Source organism: Homo sapiens, chromosome 20 (assembly GCF_000001405.40).
Source record: "Homo sapiens chromosome 20, GRCh38.p14 Primary Assembly".
NCBI classification, from domain to species: Eukaryota; Metazoa; Chordata; class Mammalia; order Primates; family Hominidae; genus Homo; species Homo sapiens.
Window position 1 is genome coordinate 57,460,055 of NC_000020.11, and position 20,840 is coordinate 57,480,894.

At 51.7% G+C, this 20,840-nt stretch overlaps 1 long non-coding RNA gene across 1 annotated transcript, besides 9 other annotated features; it reads left to right on the top strand.

The window, feature by feature from the left end:
* The first annotated feature begins 205 nt into the window (after positions 1-205).
* On the top strand, positions 206-3,172 carry LOC105372688 (uncharacterized). The gene is made up of 3 exons (XR_936911.3): positions 206-646; positions 2,386-2,483; positions 2,840-3,172. It is a non-coding gene; the product is annotated as an uncharacterized LOC105372688 (long non-coding RNA).
* Positions 1,059-1,353: an enhancer, noted in NCBI's record as "tiled region #5175; HepG2 Activating non-DNase unmatched - State 20:ReprD, and K562 Activating DNase matched - State 8:EnhW". NCBI's record gives its function as "activates a minimal TATA promoter and a strong SV40 promoter by Sharpr-MPRA in HepG2 and K562 cells {active_cell/tissue: HepG2 | K562}" and the evidence as "EXISTENCE:reporter gene assay evidence [ECO:0000049][PMID:27701403]".
* Positions 4,280-5,110: an enhancer, noted in NCBI's record as "H3K27ac-H3K4me1 hESC enhancer chr20:56039390-56040220 (GRCh37/hg19 assembly coordinates)". NCBI's record gives its function as "activates a minimal SCP1, AML or CMV promoter by ChIP-STARR-seq in naive H9 embryonic stem cells {active_cell/tissue: H9 hESC(naive)}" and the evidence as "EXISTENCE:reporter gene assay evidence [ECO:0000049][PMID:30033119]".
* Positions 7,391-7,892: an enhancer, noted in NCBI's record as "H3K4me1 hESC enhancer chr20:56042501-56043002 (GRCh37/hg19 assembly coordinates)". NCBI's record gives its function as "activates a minimal SCP1, AML or CMV promoter by ChIP-STARR-seq in naive H9 embryonic stem cells {active_cell/tissue: H9 hESC(naive)}" and the evidence as "EXISTENCE:reporter gene assay evidence [ECO:0000049][PMID:30033119]".
* Positions 10,543-11,281: an enhancer, noted in NCBI's record as "H3K4me1 hESC enhancer chr20:56045653-56046391 (GRCh37/hg19 assembly coordinates)". NCBI's record gives its function as "activates a minimal SCP1, AML or CMV promoter by ChIP-STARR-seq in naive H9 embryonic stem cells {active_cell/tissue: H9 hESC(naive)}" and the evidence as "EXISTENCE:reporter gene assay evidence [ECO:0000049][PMID:30033119]".
* Positions 10,576-10,762: a silencer, noted in NCBI's record as "fragment chr20:56045686-56045872 (GRCh37/hg19 assembly coordinates)". NCBI's record gives its function as "represses an EF-1alpha promoter that drives an FKBP-Casp9 reporter gene in an ReSE screen in K562 erythroleukemia cells {active_cell/tissue: K562}" and the evidence as "EXISTENCE:reporter gene assay evidence [ECO:0000049][PMID:32094911]".
* Positions 12,953-13,454: an enhancer, noted in NCBI's record as "H3K4me1 hESC enhancer chr20:56048063-56048564 (GRCh37/hg19 assembly coordinates)". NCBI's record gives its function as "activates a minimal SCP1, AML or CMV promoter by ChIP-STARR-seq in naive H9 embryonic stem cells {active_cell/tissue: H9 hESC(naive)}" and the evidence as "EXISTENCE:reporter gene assay evidence [ECO:0000049][PMID:30033119]".
* Positions 13,455-13,954: an enhancer, noted in NCBI's record as "H3K4me1 hESC enhancer chr20:56048565-56049064 (GRCh37/hg19 assembly coordinates)". NCBI's record gives its function as "activates a minimal SCP1, AML or CMV promoter by ChIP-STARR-seq in naive H9 embryonic stem cells {active_cell/tissue: H9 hESC(naive)}" and the evidence as "EXISTENCE:reporter gene assay evidence [ECO:0000049][PMID:30033119]".
* Positions 14,965-15,034: an enhancer, noted in NCBI's record as "active region_18158". NCBI's record gives its function as "activates an Ori minimal core promoter by ATAC-STARR-seq in GM12878 lymphoblastoid cells {active_cell/tissue: GM12878}" and the evidence as "EXISTENCE:reporter gene assay evidence [ECO:0000049][PMID:35858748]".
* Positions 16,248-16,748: an enhancer, noted in NCBI's record as "H3K4me1 hESC enhancer chr20:56051358-56051858 (GRCh37/hg19 assembly coordinates)". NCBI's record gives its function as "activates a minimal SCP1, AML or CMV promoter by ChIP-STARR-seq in naive H9 embryonic stem cells {active_cell/tissue: H9 hESC(naive)}" and the evidence as "EXISTENCE:reporter gene assay evidence [ECO:0000049][PMID:30033119]".

Here is a 20,840-nt window from a genome sequence, read left to right on the forward strand (position 1 = left end):
GGAATGTTCGTTCCACCTGGGGCAAGACCCTGAGTCTTTACATTACCTGGAGGCAGTGGGGCAGGACTGGCTGTGTGATTTGTAAGGCCCAGGGCAGAATGAAAACGGGGAGCCTCTGGTTCAGAACAATGGAGGACTTCCAGGCCGGGGCAGCAGAGCCTCACAGCAAGGCGGCACTCTGAGCTCAGGGCCTGTGGGGCTGCCCGGCACTTCCCTGTGGGAAATCAAGTTTCATTTGACTTAGAAAAACAGTTAAGTGATGCCTCCTGCCCTCACTGGGGTGTCCTTTTTACCCCGGGCACTTCTCCTGGGCTCCTGCGCTCCTGGCGCTGAGGTAAGAGGAGACACACGCAACCTTGCTGGCCTGGCCAGGAGGAGCCCACAGCCGTCATTTCAGACAGAGGAACCTGAGCCGGACGTGAACCTGGGTTCAGACACTGCCGTTGCTGTGGGTGAGCGGCTGTTCTGCCTGTGGAGCAGCATCGGGTGGGTGGTTGCCTGGCACCGTGACTGTTAGGAGAACTTCTGCATGGCCGGGGTGTACTTTATGGGGGGTGCGGCCCCCTGTAATCGCTCTGCAGTCTGGGCACCCTGTGATGGGGGCCTGGTCCTCATCTGCGGCTGCCTCGGCTGGCTCCGATGTGAGGTGAGGAGTTAACCCCTGCCCTAGGCTCCCTTGCTCCTCTTGCCACCCGCCTCCCCACCACTAGCCCCTGACTGCCTCCCTGCTGTCACCAGGGTCCCTTTGCTTTGTGCTGGGGGGACCTGCCACCTCCCCCTCCCCTATGTGCCCCATCTGAAGGCGTCCCGTGGGTCCCCAGGTGTAATCGTGCAGGAGCCTTCCCCAGCGCACATCCCTGAGTCTGCGGGCCAGGGCCTGTCCTCCTGGCCGCCATTGGCCAGAGGCGTCCCAGGGCTGTCCTGGGAATGTCTCTGGAACAGCAGGTCCTTCCAGTGCTGGGTTCCATCCTGCAGCGTGGTTAATGGGCATGTAGAAGGCACAATGTGCCCAGCTGCTGCCCAGGACAGAGTGGACATGGCCTGCCTGGGAGCTGATTCTCTTCTGGGAATGCGGGATGCAGAGAAGTACCATGGGGAACGGCGGACAGCATGCTGGCCGCAGGCCACTGACTAGCTTATCTCCTGTAGCTGCCTGGTGACAATTTGACTTTTCCCACAGTTCCTCCCACTGCCCTTCTTGACAATGGGGTGGGTCACTCTGACCTCTTGATTGACTTGCACTTTGACCAAAGGGGAACTCCGGGGGAGGCTGGAGGAGCCAGGCCTGGGATGAAGGCATCTGTTGAAAGCCGTCTCTGGGTTGCATTGTCTGAAAGCCAAGAGATGCCTGAACGAAGGTGGCTTTGTGGGCATGTGACTTGGGTGGTCATATAGACACCTGCACTCTGGAAGGACCCCACGTGCCAAAGGACCCCACACTCCAAAGGACCTCATGATTGGTTTAATGCCTTACTGGTCACTGTTGGTTTAAGGACTCCTTTGAACAGGGCCCTTTCGTTTTCATCTTGCACTGGGCCCTACAAATTACACAGCCGGTCCTGGCCCTGAGGTGCCCCCGCCATGGGTTTCTTACCAACAATTTGGGAATGTCTGTTTTCTCCTGAGTGATGTCCCTTGTCATGGCCTGCTGTGGGCAGTTCATTCATTCTGGTTCAGAGTCGGTCCTGAACCCAGGCTGCAGAGCCCGGAACCTCCTAGTCCACAAAGGGCAGAGGTTCCTCCTGAAGAGGCAGGGAGAGGACAGGGTGTGCTGTGTCCACATCCTCCTCCCCTCCCTAGACAGCACAAGTCCCCAAAGTGCTTGGGATGCGAGGGTGGCCATCCACAGGGACCCCTCGGTGGGGACCACACGTGGTTAGTGCCAGGATCTGGCCTGGACCTTGGCATACATCCCCTCCTGGCCTCCCTGGGGACGGGAGGGACTGACTGTGCCAGGGTTCCCAGGGCTGGGTTCTAAGGGAGCTTTTTAAAACCACTTCCTGGTCCGGAAAGAGGAGGACACCAATTAAGTGCCTGGCTGAGGCCTGAGACCCAAATGGCCTTGAGTCCAGTCTTTCACTTAAAGTCCAAGTTTCCAAGAACCTGTCAAAGATGGTAAGTGAGGACTGACTGAACATGACTTTTGTGATAGAAGAGAGGGCGAGGAAGAGAGGGAGAGAGAGAGAAAGGGTTTGTACCGCGTGGAAGGGGATGAGTCCTAGCCCGAATCCTAGCTCTGCTGCGGCTGTGGCTCAGGGCCTTGGCTTTCGTCTCTTGAAAGTGGGGCTACTGACAGTTCCTGCCCGAGGGGGTAGTGTGAGGAGGCACGGGGCCTGCGCCCGTGGAAGCTCAGACCCTGTGGTTTCTCTGTTACTTGAAATATAGCCAAGTTGGGATCTTTCCAGAGACCCCTCAATTCGGGACTTCCTCCAAAGGACACATCTTCCGACACTGGAAGAAGCTTTCAAAAGAGCTCCCCAAAGGTGAGGAAAAAACACACACCATATTTTAGTTACAGAGATGTGGGATTTGGGGAAGAAAGGCTGGAAAGGAAGTTTCCATTTTTTTCCTCTGTGCTTCTGTACCTCTGAGTGCCCTGCGGCTCCTTGAGCAGTTCAAGGGGCGGCCTTGAACTTTGAAGAGGAGGCAAAAGTCAGTAAAGAGAATCCTCGTCTATGCCTCACTTGGCTTAAATTTCCCATAATGTTATCATCCTACTCGATGACCAGGGTACATTTGTCCAGGCTAAGAAATCAACATTGCTACATTACGATTCACTAAATTCCAGACTTTATCTGGAGTTGACCAGTTTCTCCCTAATGTCCTCTTCCTGTTCCAGGATCCCATCCAGGGTGCCGCATCCCATTCAGTCGTCATGTCTCCTAGGCTGCTCTGGTCTGTGACAGTTTCTTACTGTTCCTTGCTTTTGATGAACTTGACCGCTTTGGGGAGTACAACTCCAATGTTTTGCGAAATGCCCTCCGATCTGAGTATGTCTGATGTTTTCATCATGGTTAGACCAGGATGATGGGTTTCTGTCACGTCGTATCAGTAGAGGGTACATGATACCCACATGGCCTTGTTTTTACTTTTAAGAAATTCTGGAAATGTCAACAATACTGCATATTTCTTATGGGATGTGTATCTGTATCTCAGCCATCGTATGTGGTAAGATGTTAACATTGCACTCTCCTGCAATCTGTCTCACTCAATCTCAGAGTCGTGGAGGTCCCCACACCAAAGGGACCCCTGTGGTTAACTCTGAGGGAGGGTGGTGGGGACTAGTTATGGTCCCCTGGAACCTGTGAATGTGACCGTATTTGGGAAAAGTGTCTTTGCAAATATAGTTTAGGATCTCAAGATGAAATCCCCCTGGATTCGTGCAGGCCCCAAGTCCAATGACAAGTGTCCTTAGGAGAGAAGAGAAGAGGAGACACACACAGGAGCAGTCTATGTGAAGTCGCAGGCAGAGATTGGAGCAATGGGGTCGCAAGCCTGGGACAGCTAGAGTCCCCAGAAGCTGGAAGAGCCCAGGAAGGATCCTCCCCTATAGCCTCTGGAGGGAGTGTGACTCTGTCTACACCTTCATTGTGGACTTCTGGCCTCCAGAACTGTGAGAGAATAAGTTTCAAGCAACGCACTTTTTAGTGACTTGTTACAGTAGACATGGGAAGCTAATACAGGCACCATAAATTGCTATTATTATTCTTATTCCACTTGTCCTTCAACCGAAGTGCACATCCCCATCTCAGCTGAGTGTAGCACAGCTGGGCTGTGTGCAAATTCCCCGTGACCAATGACAGTGCAATGTTAACATCTTCCTACACTCAGGGGCCTCTGGCTCTGCCGGCTGCCTTCCTGCAGGCCCTGTCCCTGGCGGGTGTAGCGCCCCCATCGCTACCTCCCTTGCTACATGATCTTTGAGGAAACTTTTCTGACATCCTGCAATCTGCCTTGACCAATTTCCTGGATGAAATTAGACCTCGTCACAAACATTGAACCATGCAGCTGCCTGAGTTCCTGGAGGCTGTGCCTCCCCCACTGGGTGTTTAGAAAACCGTCAGGCTCGGCCGGGCACGGTGGCTCATGTTTGTAATCCCAGCACTTTGGGAGGCCGAGGTGGGTGGATTACGAGGTCAGGAATTCAAGACCAGCCTGGCCAACATAGTGAAACCCCATCTCTGCTAAAAATACAAAAAATTAGCTGGGCGTGGTGGTGGGTGCAGGTAATCCCAGCTACTCGGGAGGCTGAGGCAGGAGAATAGCTTGAATCCGGGAGGCGGAGGTTGCAGTGAGTGGATATCATGCCACCCACTGCAGCCTGGGCGAAGGAGCGAGACTCCGTCCCAAAAAAATAAAAAAAAAGAAAGCTGTCAGGCTGAAGCGGGGGAGGCTGGCGGAATGCTCTGGTGTGTGTCCTGGGAACTAAGTCCCGGGGACTTCCTAGGCACAGCCTCCAGTTCACACAGGCAGGAGAAACCAGAGGGTACAAAAGAATGTTTCGTGTCTTTTGGGGTGAATTTGGCTAAAAGTGAGTCCTCAGGGGAGATGCTAGTGGGGAAGAGACCAGGGTTAAGAACTTATCTGAGGGCAACAGAGCTGCCGCAAAGCTCGCTCCACTGAGTACTAGCCACTGACCTTGAGCAAGCTACTGACCTTGAGCGAGTCACTGACCTTGAGTGAGCCACTGACCTTGAGCGAGCCACTGACCTTGAGCGAGCCATTGACCTTGAGCGTGTCACTGACCTTGGGCGAGCCATTGACCTCGAGCGAGCCACTGACCTTGAGTGAGCTATTGACCTTGAGTGAGCCATTGACCTTGAGCACGTCACTGACCTTGAGCGAGCAAGCCACCTGCCTCTCCAAGCCTCCCTGTGTTCATCTGCAGAAGGGGATAATAATGGTACTGGTAGCACAGGGTTGTTGGGAAGTGCAAGAGGGATGATGCTGACATTCTATGGAGCACTGTGTGTTGGTGCCGTCCCAGCACCCACTGGAATTGTGCAATACATCACGCTGGACATGAAGGGAAGGCAGCCTAGCATGCACCACCTCTGGCTGACTTGCTGTACTACAGAGGCACCTCCTGGGACTACCACTGGGGTAGTTTAGGGTGAAATCACCCAGACCAGGCACTAGCTCTCCTGGAGGAATCCACCGCTTTCCAATCCAGAGAGCGACTTGGCATAGCCCGACTCCTTCCTGCTGCCCTCCAGACCATGCGCAGGTCCTTTGGGTTCTAAATACTAGGCATCGGAGGCTGAAGTTTCCCGGGTTGACCAACCCTGGCTCCTTATCTCTCCTATGCCCATGGCCAAATCCTCTGCTCTATATTTTCAGTTGGTTTCTTGTGCCCAGGCCTCCTGGTCTGGATCTCCTTCCTTCCTGGCCCAGACTCTCCAAAGCTCACATTCTCATCTCCAAAATGGTGCAGGGTTGCCATGAGGATTGTGTTCCGGAAGTCCTTCTTTGCTTGCTTGGGGTGTGGATGTAGGAAGGGTCCTACTGGCATGAGTGAGTGGTCCACTACTGCTACCCAGGCCAGGCAAGGACTTCCCTGCCCCACCAGGTCACGGTGAGAATGGGTGTCAGCCGCTCATTGGCAAATGCGTGGGATCTCCATACTGGACAGGGCTGGGGAGCTCTCCAGCTGCCTCGCTGAACACCATTGCCTGGGTCCCGCCTGCCTCAGTAATCCCTTTGCCTAAGCCTTTCGCTCTGAAACACTTTGCCTGAACATCTTCCTGGATTTCCCAGCCCACCCTGATCCTCTCATTCCTCAAACCCATTTCAGGATTCACCTTCAATGACCAGCCCAGCGCCTGGCAGATTTTCCCTGCATCTTTGTGGCTTCCATGGCATTGATTTGAACTTGGCTTTGCTTCCCAGGTGACATAACGAGTATTTTTAAGACCCCCAAGAAGCTTCTGTGTACATTATTTAATCCTCACAATATCCCTGCCAGGTGGTGGTGTGAGTGTTACTGGCCCCATTTCACAGGGGGAAACTGAGGTCCCCAGAACTTAGGCTACCGCCCAAAGCCATGCAGCCAGTAGGGGGCAGAAGTGGGGTTTTGACCCCGTGCAGTGGCTATTCAGGGCCTGGGTTTCTTTCTGGAGTCCTTTCTGGAGCCTTTCTAGAGCCCTTCAAGCAGAGCAGGGGCTATTTAAGGTGAGTGAGGCCCTTCCCTCAGGCACAGAAAGCTGATCATCAAGATAAATACCATTTTCATGCCAAATGAATGCAAAAAATCCATGATGTACAAAATATCGAAATGTTAAAGTCAGGATGCAACCCTGCCCTTGCCCCACCCGCCTGCCTTACTTGCCCTCCCTACATCCAGCCCTGGCTCCAGTAAAAAAATATTTACAAAAACAGATGACCAGCCTGCGGGCCGTCGTTGAACGATTTGAATTTTCATATAAAGGTTTGAGGTGTGTGCTCTTTCCCCACCACCTGCACCCCACGTTTTTATTATGAAAACTTTCAAGCATGCAAAAAAAGAGGAGAGAAGAGTTGGATAAACACCTGTCTCCTCTGTCCTTTTTATCCCCCACCCTGGATCCTAAGCACCTGAAGGCACGACATAGTACCTTAGACTCATACTGCTCCAAGCAGGGGCTTGGAGTGTAGCGGTATGAATACTTTGTACCAAGGTGGCATTTCTGGTCCACCCTGACCCTCTGGGTCAGAATCTGCATTTCTAAGATTCCCTGGCATTCTCCGGCACAGTCAGGTTTGAGAAGTGTTGGCATGGTGCATGCTTTGCCAGGAGACGGGACCTGGGTCCACATCCTAGTCCCGGCACGTTTTGAGTGTTCAGTTTGGCAGTGATTGTTAGGTGCTGGACCACCTGCTAAGTGTTTCCCATACAAAACTCATTTAATCCTAAATAACAACTCAGTGGCTCTCAACCTGTGGTTCTGCTCTCCAGGGGACACTTGGCAATGTCTGGAGACATTTTTGGTTGTCAGTCTGGGGGCGGGGCTGGATGCAGTGGCTGACGCCCGTAATCACAACATTTTGGGAGGCTAAGGTGGGAGGATTAGTTGAGCCCAGGAGTTTGAGACCAGCCTGGGCAATACAATGAGAACCTGTCACTACAGAAAAGTAAAATAAAAATTAGCCGGGTGTGGTGGTGTGCCCCTGTGGTCCTAGCTACTCAGGAGGCTAAGGCAGGAGGATCCCTTGAGCCCAGGAGATGGAGGCTGCAGTGAGCTATGATTGTGCCACTGCACTCCAGCTTGGGTGACAGAGAAAGACCCTGTCTGAAGAAAAAGGGAATAAGCCCAGGGTGGGGGTGTTGTTGGCATCTAGTGGGTAGAGGCCAGGAATGCTGCCAAATCCCCCACAAAGCATGGGACAGCTCCACCCCATAGCAAAGAATGATCCAGCACAAATGTGAGTAGGGCCGAGGCTGGAACACTGTGCAACTGCCTAGTGAGCTGGTCACTGTTATGATCTCTGCTTTGCAGAGATGGAAACGGAGGCTTAAAGAGGGGAGGGTTCCACAGCCACCACCCAAACGGTAGGTGGAGGGGCCGTGACAGACCCCTCGGAGGGTGGCTGTAAGAATCAAATAGGTCCTTTGATCAATTTTTTATGAAGCAGCTACTCTGTGTTAAGTCCTGGGATCATGTAGTTCAGTGCTGGCACACAGTAGGCATTCAATAAATGCTGCTGCTTATCACAACAGAGCTGCATAACATTCATTGAGCACTCAGGAAGGACATCGTGGCCATTGTCCATGAGGCTCCAGTGACACTGTTCCAGCTCTGTTGTGTGGTGTTCCCATTTGGCTTCCAGCAAACACAGGATGTCCCTGTGGGCAGCTCGCTGGTGCTTCCCTGCTCTTTGGCACCACATTCCAGCTCTCTGTGCAGAGCCAGGCTGCCCAGCATGCTTCTGGAGCCCTTGGATTCACTTCCCGGGCTGTATCCCAGCCCAGCCCATCTGCTGTCCCACCAGGGATGTGCATCTCCACAGGGTATCTACAGTGCTGTTTGTAAACCTCAGGAAGCCGGATTCCTGGGATAGGGCCCACATTCCCGGGGCAGCGGCTCCTAGAAACACTGGCAGCCTGGCAATATTCCGACATACTTATACTAAAAAATTATTCACTGCTTATCTGAAATTCAAGTTGAACTGGGCATTGTGTATTTTATCTTAGCCCTAATTCCTGGACCACCCTCTTCTATCTCCCTTTCCCTGCTTTAGTATTTTATAAACACTTTTTTTTTTAGACGGAGTCTCGCTCTGTCACCCAGGCTGGAGTGCAGTGGCGCGATCTCAGCTCACTGCAAGCTCCGCCTCCCGGGTTCACGCCATTCTCCTGCCTCAGCCTCCCAAGTAGCTGGGACTATAGGCGCCCGCTACCACACCCGGCTAATTTTTTATATTTTTAGTAGAGACGGGGTTTCACCATGTTGGCCAGGATGGTCTCGATCTCTTGACCTCGTGATCCGCCCGCCTCGGCCTCCCAAAATGTATAAACACTTTTTATTGTGAAATATACATACAGAAAAGTGTAAAACATTTAAGAAACCAGATGAGTGAATTTTCACAAAGTGAACACGCCTGGGTAAGCAGCACCCAGATCAAGAACTAGAACATGATCCCAGGAGCCCTGTCGTGCCCACGGTTCACCGCTCCCCCACCTGAGGGCAACCACAGTCCTTTTCTGAACTCCACATGGTGACTTTTCCTGCTCTGGGGTGGTCCGGGTGTGGAGGTGCAGTATGTTCTCCTGGTCTGGCTTCTTTTGCTCACACTGTGTGTGGGGTGCATCCCCATGGCCGGGTGCCTCATCTGTTCTCATCCATCTAGAATATTCCATGGTCTGTTGCGTCACCTTTTGTTTCTCCAAACCCTATTGATGAGCATTTGGATTGTTTCTAGTTCGGGCTACTATAAATAAACTGCTAAGAACATTCTTGCGTGATCCTGATTTAAATTTCATCCTAGCACGTAGACTCACCAGTTATGGTAGACACTGAATTGTTCTGTATTGCCATCTTCCCCATTCGCGCCTAAGCCCCATGGGACCCAGGCTGTCTGGATCACCCTGGTAACCAAGCCCCTCACACACTGCTTGCACACAGTAGGTGCTTAATGTGTGTCTGGAGGATGAAAGAACACCAGCTCCCCACTCCCCAGGGCGTGTGTTAAGGGCTCTCAGGGACGGTGCTTATCAAGGGTTAACCTTGGGGCGCAGAACTTGAATTTGCATGCACTTTGACTACGGACCCCAGACAACTGCCAGGCAAATCTTAGGGAAATGAGCCCCTTAGGCTCTGGGAGAGGAGCAGCCCAGACTGGGGTGTTGGAGGGACCTGCTTCCTTTCCGCTGGCTGCCTGTCCCTGGCTCCCACCTGCCTGAGTGTCCTTTTTATAGCCGGCCATGGGCTCCCCCGGCTCTCCCCAGACAGTCGCCAGTGGGAACATTCCTGGGGCTTCTCGAGTGCCTCCAGGCTCCCGCCCTGATGGCTGAGGTCTGGATGATAAAGGACAATTAGGGATTCCGACTCCAGCGCCCACCTGGCCTGGCTTCTATCAGAGTCCTGTAAAAATAGCCTGCCTCTGGCTATTTTGGGTCATGGAAAACCACGGGGAGACACACTGTTCTGAGGAGGACCGAGAAGGGAACCCAGAACAGCTAATCGCAAGCAAGCCCAGCTGCTCTTCCAGCAAAGAAGAATGTTGCTGAAGATCGCAAATTAGCAGCTCTATGTAAGAATAATGGCACGGTGCACATGCAAATGTACCCCTACACACACGCACACACAGAGCACTCCCTCCTGTCTCCGCCTGGGCCACTGGCCCGCAGAAGCTGGCTTGCCTGGCCCTGGGACATTTGAGCTCGGCCCTGGGATGACTTGGCTGGGGGTGGGGTGGGTGGGGGGGAATTCCTTGAGGAGAGTCTTGCATGGCAAAGGGCAGCCAGATTTCTCACTGTCAAATGAGGCATGAGGTTCACTTTGAACTCCTAGCTCATCTAGGTGGAAAGCTCTACCTTCTATGCAAAGAACTCTCCCATGAAATGAACTCAGCCTCTCAAAGTCTCTTTGTTTAAAGCTAATTTAAGAACATTTTAAATGAAAAGGGGGTGCTAGAATCCCACCACCAGCTCACCCGGGTTCCAGTTTACATATTCCCTTCCTGATCCACCTGGGCGTTGTGCATCTGGTCTGTCCAGGGGCCTTAAAGTGACAGGAAGAATAATGAATGTTGTCAAGAGTGCAGACAGCTGGCTGCCGGCACCGCCCTGAGGTGAACGCAATGGCTTCACAGCTTTGCTGACCAGAGTGTGAGAGGCGAAGCTATCAGCGCCCTCGGCCCTCGGCCTTCCTCCTACCAGTGAGCCTCTTTCCCCATCTGTGACATGGAACAGGACCTACCTCACAGGTGGTTGTGTGGATTCCCATTAGATGAGGGTTGAGTGCAGGGCTGGGTTAAATCAGCGGACCCTGCAGGCTGTACCCTTAGCTTAGCTTAGCCTCTCAGCTGAAGATTTAGGTCATTTTAAATAGTCCTTTGTTATCTGAAAGGGCTCTGGAATTCTGCACCCACAACCTCCTTCCCTTCCCTTTTCTCTTCCCTTCTTCCCCTTCCCTCCACTCCCCACTTTTCTCTCACCTTAGGTGAGGTTCCTGGAAGTGGCACGAATACATTTTGCAGACCTGGCTCCAAGGACAACCAGCCAGGCTCCTTCAGGGGGCTGTGATCTCTGCGGGAGGGGTGGGGGCTGAAGGTCCCTGACCCCTCAACATCTGCCCAGCATCCGCCTGACCCTAGCCTAGTCTCACCTGCCTTTTGGACGGGAGCCTCTCTGCCTGTGCACCGGAGCTGCTCAGCGCCCACAGGCCCGTGCGGGTGGCAGCACTGCTCCTGTCCGGCAGCTGCTGGGGTCCTGCAAAGGGGCTGAGTTAGGAACCCCCATCTAGGGCAGAAGAGAAGCCTTAATTCCCTGGGGCAGTGCAGGGAGAGCCATAGCCTGCTTTCCCCTCTCTCCCTCCCTTCCCTTCTCTCTCATTTTCCCTGCATCCTCTCTCTCTCTCTCTCCCCTTTCCTTTTCTCTTCCCTCCCGTCTTGTTTCCATTTCCCCTAATCTCCAGGGCAGGCACAATTGTGCTGGCCAAGTGCCCAGTGGGGGTTTGGAGTGGGGGTCGTTTAGCTTCTCCTGCCCTGGAAACTAAACTGCAGTGGGTTGGGAGCCGGTAACAAGGATTTACGTTTCGGGGTTGCCCTCACCATTTCCTTTAACACATGAGTCCAAGGTGGCCGCACTGGCCGGTGGAGATGGAGTGGCAGCTGCCACACTTCCCGGATCTCCCCTCTGTCTCTAGGGTGATGCTTGGGTGGGTGAGGTTGGGGGATGGGCTTGGGGCCTGCAGCCTCCCCACAAAAGCCAGCTGTCCAGAATTCGGAGGCCAACAGGGAACAGTCCCCTGCCCTGGCCCAGGTGTCTGCCTTCTGAGTGGGCCCGGGGGGCCTGGGCTATGCACCCCCAGAGGTGGGACCTGCCCCCAGGATCACGGAGACATCCTTGCTTGGGGGGACCATTCTCTCTGTGAGGACTGTCTGGAAGAGGGCAGGCATCTGGGCCTCGCCTGTCCCCCTCCCTTGCGAGGGAGTAATGAAGGAAGTTCTGGCTGCCCAGGCTGTTCTTTCCAAGGGACACTTCGTGAATGCAAGAGCCAGGACGATGCTGGATGGCACAAGAGCAAGGCCTATCCAGGCCCCTCGGCCTCCCAGCCAGTGGCTTGTACCCTCTGAGCCTCTGCCTCTCCCCTACAGGGCTGCAGGATGGACTGGGTGGGACCTCGGGGCGGGCGCTAACCAGGGCAGCCACTGCAGTACTTCTGAACTTGCAGAGGGGCCAACCTAGACTTCAGCAGAGATGGAGCAAAACCACCTGAGCGTGGGGGTCAGAGCCTGGGCTTAGGGATTAGGTGAGCACCTGTTGGAATCCTGGATCAGGGTCCCATGAGCCAGCGTGGCTTATGGTCCTTAGGCACCCTTTCCACCCCTACCCCAGGCCCTTGCTGTCCCCTGCCTGGCCTCCCTCTCTCACAAGACTCTCTCCTTTTGCTCAGTTGTCAAATTCTCTCACCACCCCCTTAAGAAATGATTAACTCACCCTCCTCTTCCTAGAGCTCCCTGCTCCCATTGCTGCCCTTCCTCCACAGCATGGACACCCTCTGTGCCACCTGGTATTTCACTGACTCCTTTAGGCAAGGACTCCATCCCTTTTATTCCTTGCACTTAGAATAGCACCTGGTACACAGCAGGTGTTCCATAAATATTTGTTCAATACACTTAATAAATGGGGGCTGGAGCGGTGACCACACCTGTAATCCCAATACCTTGGGAGGCCAAGGAAGGGGCATTGCTTAAGCCCAGGAGCTCAATAGCAGCCTAGGCAACATAGCGAAAAAATTAAAAATTAGCCAGGTGTGGTGGTGGGCACCTGTGGTCCCAGCTACTTGGGAGGCTGAGGTGGGAGGATTGCTTGTGCCTGTAAGCTCAAGGCTGCAGTGAGCAGTGATCACACCACTGTACTTGATATGGTTTGGTGGTGTCCCTACCCAAATCTCACCTTGAATTGTAATAATCCCCATGTGTCAAGGGCAGGGCTAGCTGGAGATAACTGAATCACAGGGGGATAACTGAACAGTATGGGTTCCCCCGTATTGTTCTTGTGGTAGTGAATAAGTCTCACAAGATCTGAAGGTTTTATAAATAGGAGTTCCCCTGCACAAGCTCTCTTGCCTGCCGCCATGTAAGACGTGACTGCTCCTCATTCGCCTTCTGCCATGATTGCGAGGCCTCCCCAGCCATGTGGAACTATGAGTCCATTAAACCTCTTTCCTTTATAGATTACCCAGTCTTGGCTATGTCTTTATTAGCAGCATGAGAATGGACTAATACAGTACTCCAGCTTGGGCAACAGAGCAAGACCCTCTCTCTAATAATAATAAATAATGATAAATGGTATGGCTTATGGTTCATCGCCAACAATGGAACCACATTTTGATCCTGCATCCGAGTTGCCAGAACTTTCAGGTACCCGTGCAGCAGAGATTTCCCATCTCTGGAATAAAGAGCAGGAGGAGGATGATCACTGCACAAGCAGCCGGGGGGCCTCACAGGTCCCTACATCCTGGGAGTGTACAGAGAGAAGAAAAGGAAGCTGTGGACTCGCCCCCACCACTCTGTGAAGGACTCACTGAGTTCTGAAAGCTTCCACAAGTGTCCGGGCAGCCCCTCAGCTCTTCACAGCAGGAAGCGGATGTGCAGACAGCCATAGCTCATTGTTGCAGCCTGGCATGTTTCATTAGTGGTTTCACAATCCACACTCTGGCCCTCTCTTCCTCTCTGCCTGCGGGGGGACGCTGGGGAGGCGAGTTCTGCCCCACAGCCTTGCACCTGAGCTCCGTCTGCTCCACGTTGCCTGAGCTCTAGCTCCCAGGGAGCGTCTGAAAATGCCCTGGCCAGAATCCCTGGGGAGCTGCAGCAATCCTGAACCGGGCCTCATCCCAGAGTTCCCGTGTATTTCATGCAGGTGTGGCTTGGGCACTAGCAGTTTTTAAAGTTCCCTAGGGAATTCTAATGCACAGCCAAACTTGAGAATTGCCCTGTTAATGGATCTTAGTGAATAGAAATAATATTAACTATCCTTTATGAAGCTGCTTCTGCCTGCCAATGCTTCTTCGCAAATGTCCCAAATCGAGCTCCCTCTGGGGGCCAGGCAGGGTGTGTAATTGGAAGAAGTGGACTGAGGGAGAGACAATAGGGAAAAGTGGGGACTGTGGTGAACTGGGGAACCACGGCCCATCCCAAAGGGGCAGCCACGGCTCAGTACAGCTGATTGTCAACACCCCAGAAAGCAGATCCAGTGGGTGAGAGCCTCCTACGAGTTAAGAGAAACAGGAAATCTGAATTTTAATGTGAAATTTGCCAGTTAAAAAATATTAGCAACTCATGGAGATTGGATGGGAGGCGAATCATGCTCCTTGGTTGAGTGGAGCCTGTGGGTGCCCAGTTTGAGGCCCTTGCTTCAGGTCCATTTATTTTTTCTTTGCTGCAATGTCCATGGGAGCTAGATATTTCCTATTCTCTTTTTAGAGGTGAGGAAACAGACTCAGAGAGGTAAAATTGTTTCCAATTTGCTGAGGTAGGCAGAGTAATAGCTCCCAAAGATGTCCATGTCCTAATCCCTGCAACCTGTGATGTGCTACCTTCCTTGCCAGGGGAATTAAGTGGCAGATAGATTTAGGGTTGCCGATCAGCTGCCTTTAAGAGAGGGAAGTTATCATGGGTTGCTGGGTGGGTCCAGTATAATCACAGGGGCCCTTTAAATGTGGAAAAGGGAGGTAGGAGGGTCTGTGTCAGAATGAGGAAGACAAGACCAGTCTTTCCTGGCCTTGAGGATGGAGGAAGAGGCTATGAACCAAGGAACGCAGGCTTCTAGAAGCCAGAATAGGCAAGAAAATGGATTCTTCCCCATAACCTCCAGAAGGAGTGCAGCCCTGCCAACACTTGGATTTTAGCTCATCTTAGACTTCTGACTTCCAGAACTGTAAGAGAATCACTTTGTGCTGTTTTAAGCCACTGAAGTTGTGGCAGTTTACAGCAGCCCCAGGAAATGAACGCACCTACCCAGCTAAATAAGAGACAGTGTCAGGATCTGAACCCAGGCCGTCTGACTGCAGAGCCCGAGATCTGAGCTAGTCCCTGCACCTCTGAAAGGATGGACACACCAGAGGGCCTGGATTTTCTGGTACAACCCTGATCTCAATATCTGCTTCTTTGTAGGAGGATGAGTTTGGGGAAGTATAGCCCTCGGCCTAGGGGACAAGAAGGGGATTTGCTCATCAAGTTGATGTCTGCCCAACAGCTGTCGAGCCCCCATGTGGCAAGGACTCTTAGATGGCTCCAGGATCCTTTCTCTCTGTAGTAACAAGCCCCTGAGTGTCAGGTGGAGGCCCAGAACGCACCCTCCATTTCCCGCCCCCCTTGTGGTTAGAGATTTGGATATGGTCCTGTGGCTGGCATCCGGCCACTGGGGGTACTCAGAGGCACGGGGAGGGCCGAGTTGGGGGTGAACCATCCTGGATTATGCAGACAGGGCACCATTTCTGGCACTTTCTGGCACAATTTCTGCCATATTTTGGCAGCAGCTGGCCAGAGTGGGATCTTAGAAGGGTCAGCAGTCATGGTGGAGGGGGAGGCTGGCATTGAGCCTTTACTAGAAGCTGTCTTTGAAACATCACATCTTTCTCTCCCCAGAAGGTCTGTCACTTGAATATTTTCCTTTATTAGTTAAATGAGGTTTGGCTACAAGGGGCAGAAAACAAAACAAGCAGAAATCACAATCGCTCTTTAAAAAAGAAACGGGATTCTCCTGGCATATTTTTCTTTCCTATAAAAATGAAGTCCGGGGCAGCATTCCAGGGCCAGGAGGAGGTTCCACAAAGTCTTTAGGGTGACTCATGACTCTGCCATCCTCAGGGTCCAAAATTATTGCGTGAGCTCCAGCCATCACATCTTCTTTCCAGCCAGGAAAAAGGAAGGAACAGAGAAGGATGTCCCCTGTTCCTTTAAAGAACACTTGAGAAAACTTCTGCTCACCTCCCTGTTTCACGTGGCCATACCTCACTGCAAGGAAAATGTAGTCTTTATTCTGGGTGGCCATGCAACCCCCTGAAAACTGGGGGTCTTACAACTAGGGCAAGAGAGGGCAAGAGTGGATACTGCTGTAGTCTACTCAATCAGATCTGTTCCGGCCACGGGGAGGAGCTGAATGGAACAGCATCATTCCATTTAAGGCAATTGGCTATGCGTTCTTGGACAAGTCACCTGATCCTTCTGGGCCTCTTTTTGCTCATCTGACTAACTAAAATCAGATTAAAAGGTTTTTAGAGTCTCCTTCAGTAGAATCCTTCTATGGGTCTAAGAATTGTCTCATTTTTAGCCATAGACCATATCAAGATGTAGAGACACTGGTGGGTACTGCCTGAGTGTGGTATCTTCTGTGTCAGACTGACCAGGCTTCAGGTCCTGTGGGGCCTGGGAAACGTCCTTCCTCCTCTGAGCCGGGTCCCTCCTGCTGGCCAGACTCGGATGAAGTGACTGTAAAGTTCCCAGCTTGCCACTCAGCAACTCTAGCAACACCAGCAAATTACTAACATTCTATTAATAAAAACGACAGAGGAAATGCACCTGTTTCCTATTGCTGCTGTAACAAATGCCCACAAAGGTAGTGACTCAAACACCACACATTTATTCCCCTCCAGTTCTGGAGGCCAGAAGCATGAAATAGACTCACAGGGCTGAGGGCAAGGTGTCTGCCGGGCTGTGTTCCTCTGTTTCCTACCCACTTGGGCGCTGGCAGAATTCAGGTCCCAGGGCTGGAGGAATGACCTCTTTGGAGGCTCAGTAAAGAGCTCCTGGGATTATATTAGGCAACAGGTTGGATTCAGTTTTAGGAACAGAATTGCCATTTGGAAATTATGCTCCAAATTCTGCTAGATCTGAATTTTTTGAAGTAGCCAGTGCAGACACAGAAGGGCAGCTGTGAGCTGGGGTCCCAAGGAAACTTCAGAAAGCCGTGTCCATAGCATCTTCCTTCCGTGGATCCCGAGGAGACCTCTGGGCCCGTCCGGGCTTCCCCCCGCCCAGCTTCAGCCGTTGTGGTTTCAGGCCCGCGGGGGGTCCCTGCCTCCCTAGATTGTCTCTGTCCCGCTCCCAAGGCCATTCACTCTTTCTGGCACTCACATCCCCAGACACGCCCCCTCCCACCCAAGGCCCAAGCAAGTGCCTCACAGCCCTGATCCCAGCCGCAACAGAGGACAGAGTGGAATCTGGGAGTTAAACACCAAATGGCCAAGGGTGGTTTTCCACTGAGACCTAGAGCCGAGGGGGCCATCAGCACCCGTTCTCTGAAGGCGGCTGGGGCAGATCCAGGGCAGTCGAGCAGGTGGACTCTGGCATCACCCTGCCCAGGCTCAAATCCCAGCTCCATCTTTGAGCTGTGTGACCTGGGATATGTTTCTTAACTTCTCTGTGCCTTGCTTTTGACATTTGTAAAAGGTGGATCATGATGGCATTTTCCTCCCAGGACAGGTATGAAGATTACAGATGAAATCAATCCAACATAATTGGTATAAACCACTTGGCTTAAGGGGTGCCTGGGACATCCACAGGGGCTCTGGTAACTGCGATTCCTGTTATGACCATGACAGGTGACAGCAGAAGGCCCCACCCAGCTCCCACCTCAGTTGTATAGACTGTGGGCTCTGCTTGGCCATGTGTGTTGTGGGGAAGGAGACCCTGTTTTCTCCTGCCTTTGCAGTCCCATTCTCTTTCCTAAGGATTCTCTTTTCCTTCTTTTTTTTTTTTCTTGAGTCAGTCTCGCTCTGTCACTCAGGCTGGAGTGCAGTGGCACGATCTTGGCTCACTGCAACCTCCACCTCCTGAGTTCAAGCTATTCTCCCTGCCTCAGCCTCCTGAGTAGCTGAGATTACAGGCACGTGCCACCACACCCGGCTAATTTTTGTATTTTTAGTAGAGACGGGGTTTCACCATGTTGGCCAGGATGGTCTTGAACTCCTGACCTCAAGTGCTCCGCCCTCCTCAGCCTCCCTTCTCTTTTCCTTTTACAGCCCTTCTGAGATGTCTCTTCTTCGGCGTTTCATTCACTCCCCGCGGCACCCTGGATGCCTGTTCACAGCTCGGTCCAGATTTCTAGAGCTGCTTTTAAAGGGCAGCTGCCACCCAGTGTTGCTCCCTGTATTCCCAGGTCCCCTTGCAGCCGCAGTGAGCTTGTCCCCATTCTGTAGACGGCAATAATCATAATAGTATTAGTAACAATGATGATAGGAAACATTTGCTTACCACTAATTAAATACGAGGGTCTGTACTAAGCCGGTGTCCCTGTATTATCTCACTTCAAGATCTCCGGGGTCACAGAGGCAGCCTGTTTCCAGAGACAGTAACTGAGGCACGGAGAGAGGATGAGGAAATGAAGCTGGGAGACGGTGACTAGCTTGGTGTTCCTTACAAATGGGAGGTGGTGGCTGGAATAGGCCAGGCTGGCCTGACTCAGAGTCCAGCTCTAACTTCTGTCACCAGATTTAAATGGGATTCTGGAGTTTTAATTTTCCCCAAGCAGACGCTTCCTCCTTAACGTCACGATTTCCACACGTGCTGGACACATTTGGAGGTGGACAGAGATGAGGCAAAATTAAACTTTTTCGAGTTGAGTCTGGTTACTCTGGGTAGAGGATCTTGCAAAACCACCTTGCTTTGCTGGGAGAGACTTTGGTCGTGAAAGATAAATGTTCTGCCGTCTGAATCAGAGGTAGGACGCCCCATGCTGCGAATTGTGGCTGCTTAGAAATATTACTGTTTATTGAGTTGCTTTTAACAATTTGGTAAGGAATTTAAATCCCCCATCAAATAAATGAATTGTTATTAGTTTACAAGAGTGGTCTTGGATTTCCACTTCTTTCTAAATAAAGCCTCAGGAAGACAAAAGGGACATGGGGAAATTGCAGGTTAATTTTTTGGTGTGCTCGTGAAATTCCAGGGCGCATGCAAATGAGGGCGAAGATGGTCACACGGATAAGAGCTTAAACTCGCCGAGAGCCTGCCATGCCAACTCACTTTAAAAAATCAAATATATGAAAACAATAAACTTTATAACGTAGCTATGATAAATGGAGAACACAATCATTTGCCAACAACAGTAATAAAAATAATGATTATGATCAGTCACATATTTTGAGCATTTACTCTGTGGCAGGCACAGCTGTAATGTTTTAAAACTGATGTTATCCAAATTAGCCGGGCACGGTGGCCCACGCCTGTAATCCCAGCTACTCGGGAGGCTGAGGCAGGAGAATCGCTTGGAACCCAGGAGGCAGAGGTTGCGGTGAGCCGAGATCGCGCCACTGCACTCCAACCTGGGCAACAGAGCAAGACTCTGTTTCAAAAAACAAAACAAAACAAAAATCTGGCGTTATGCTTTGAAGCTGGTACCATTGTTTCCATTTTACAGATAAGGAAAATGAGGTTAAATTCTTCTTCCAGTATGTTAACAATAGGGGTATCCAATGAAGACATGAAACTTGCTTCACCCATTTTTTCATTTTTTCACCCATATCCTCCTCCTTTCTTCCCTAATTTCACCTATTTTCATCCTTAAAAGTTTAGAAACTTGACCCAGCAGCACCCTCCTAGCCTAGGCTGGTGAACACCCTGTTCCTCACCCATCTTGTAGCTCCGAAGTGCCCACCACACCATGCCTGTTGGTTAATGCAGCCTTCCCCATTGCAGTCCTGCTAAGGAGGGCTGGGACAGGACCCACTCTCCGCCTTCCCAGTGTGGGGCACAGAGTGGGTTCTCAGCAGACATTGCCAAACAAATGAATGAGGGAATCAGTGAATGAATGAATAAAGCAAATGCAGAAGCAAATTCAGATCCAAAATCCACCAGAGGTGTTTCACTACGATTTCAGTGGTCCCTGTCTTTGGTTTAGCAGCGATGTGTCTTTTTGAGGCCCTAAACTACTTTCCTAAAATGAGGCTATTAGGGAGCACCAACCCTGGACCTCCCCCAGGGACTGTTGCAAGGATTAAACCAGTTAACATGCTAGTGTATCAGAACAGTGCCTGACCCAGAGCAAACACCCACAAATGTTAATAACAGTAATAACAATATTATTATTTTATTTTATTTTTTTGAGATGGAGTCTCACTATAGCACCCAGGCTAGAGTGCAGTGGCGTGATCTCGGCTCATTGCAACCTCCACCTCCCGGGTTCAAGGGATTCTCCTGCCTCAGCCTCCCAAGTAGCTGGGATTACAGGTGTGCACCACCACGCCCAACTAATTTTTGTATTTTTGTTTTGGTGTTTGTTTTTTTTTTTTGAGATGGAGTCTTGCTGTTGTTGCCTGGGCTGGAGTGCAATGTCATGATCTCGGCTCACTGCAACCTCTGCTTCCTGAGTTCCAGCAATTCTCCTGCCTCAGCCTCCCGATTACCTGAGATTATAGGCACCTGCCACCATGCCCAGCTAATTTTTGTATTTTTAGTAGAGACGGGGTTTCACCATGTTGGACAGGCTGGTCTCGAACTCCTGACCTCAGGTGATCTGCCCACCTCGGCCTCTCAAAGTGCTGGGATTATAGGTGTGAGCCACTGCGCCTGGCCTATTATAATTTTATATATGAGATATATGATGTCTACCTATCATTACCATTTAAGACAAGTGATATGGGTTTCCCGTGTACTGTAGCACTGTGAGATTTTATTTTAAAATAAATGCATTTGATTTTAAAAAGTGAGTTGGAAATAAGTAAATATCGGTGCGGGTGAATCCTAGACAGGATCCCAATCCCGAGGTGGTGTTCAACCCCTGGGTGTAGGACCTCAGGTGAAGGGTTACTCAATTTGGGGCAGCTTCCCTAAGCCATGATTGTGCCGCACGCATGGCTGGCAGCATGGATGTCAGTGTGGGGAGGCCCAGGCCCTTGGAGGAGGCTGAGGCAGCCTTGTCTGGGACCCCAGGTACGCCTCCAGCCATCTTCCCCACAGCCCCTTCTCTGAGCGCGCAGCCATCACCCCAGACCCGGGCTGATATTTTTAGCACACAGGCACCCTGCACGGCCCTGTACACTCTGACCAAATTTAGAAATCTCAAGAGATCTTTGCTTTTCTACGCCTTCAGAAGGAGCAATGAATGAAAAGGCTCCCAGCCTCCGGTTTAGTGAGAGCAAACCCTCCTGTTTGCAGGGCTCTCTCTGGTAGGGAACCCCAAGCTTTACTGTGCAGTG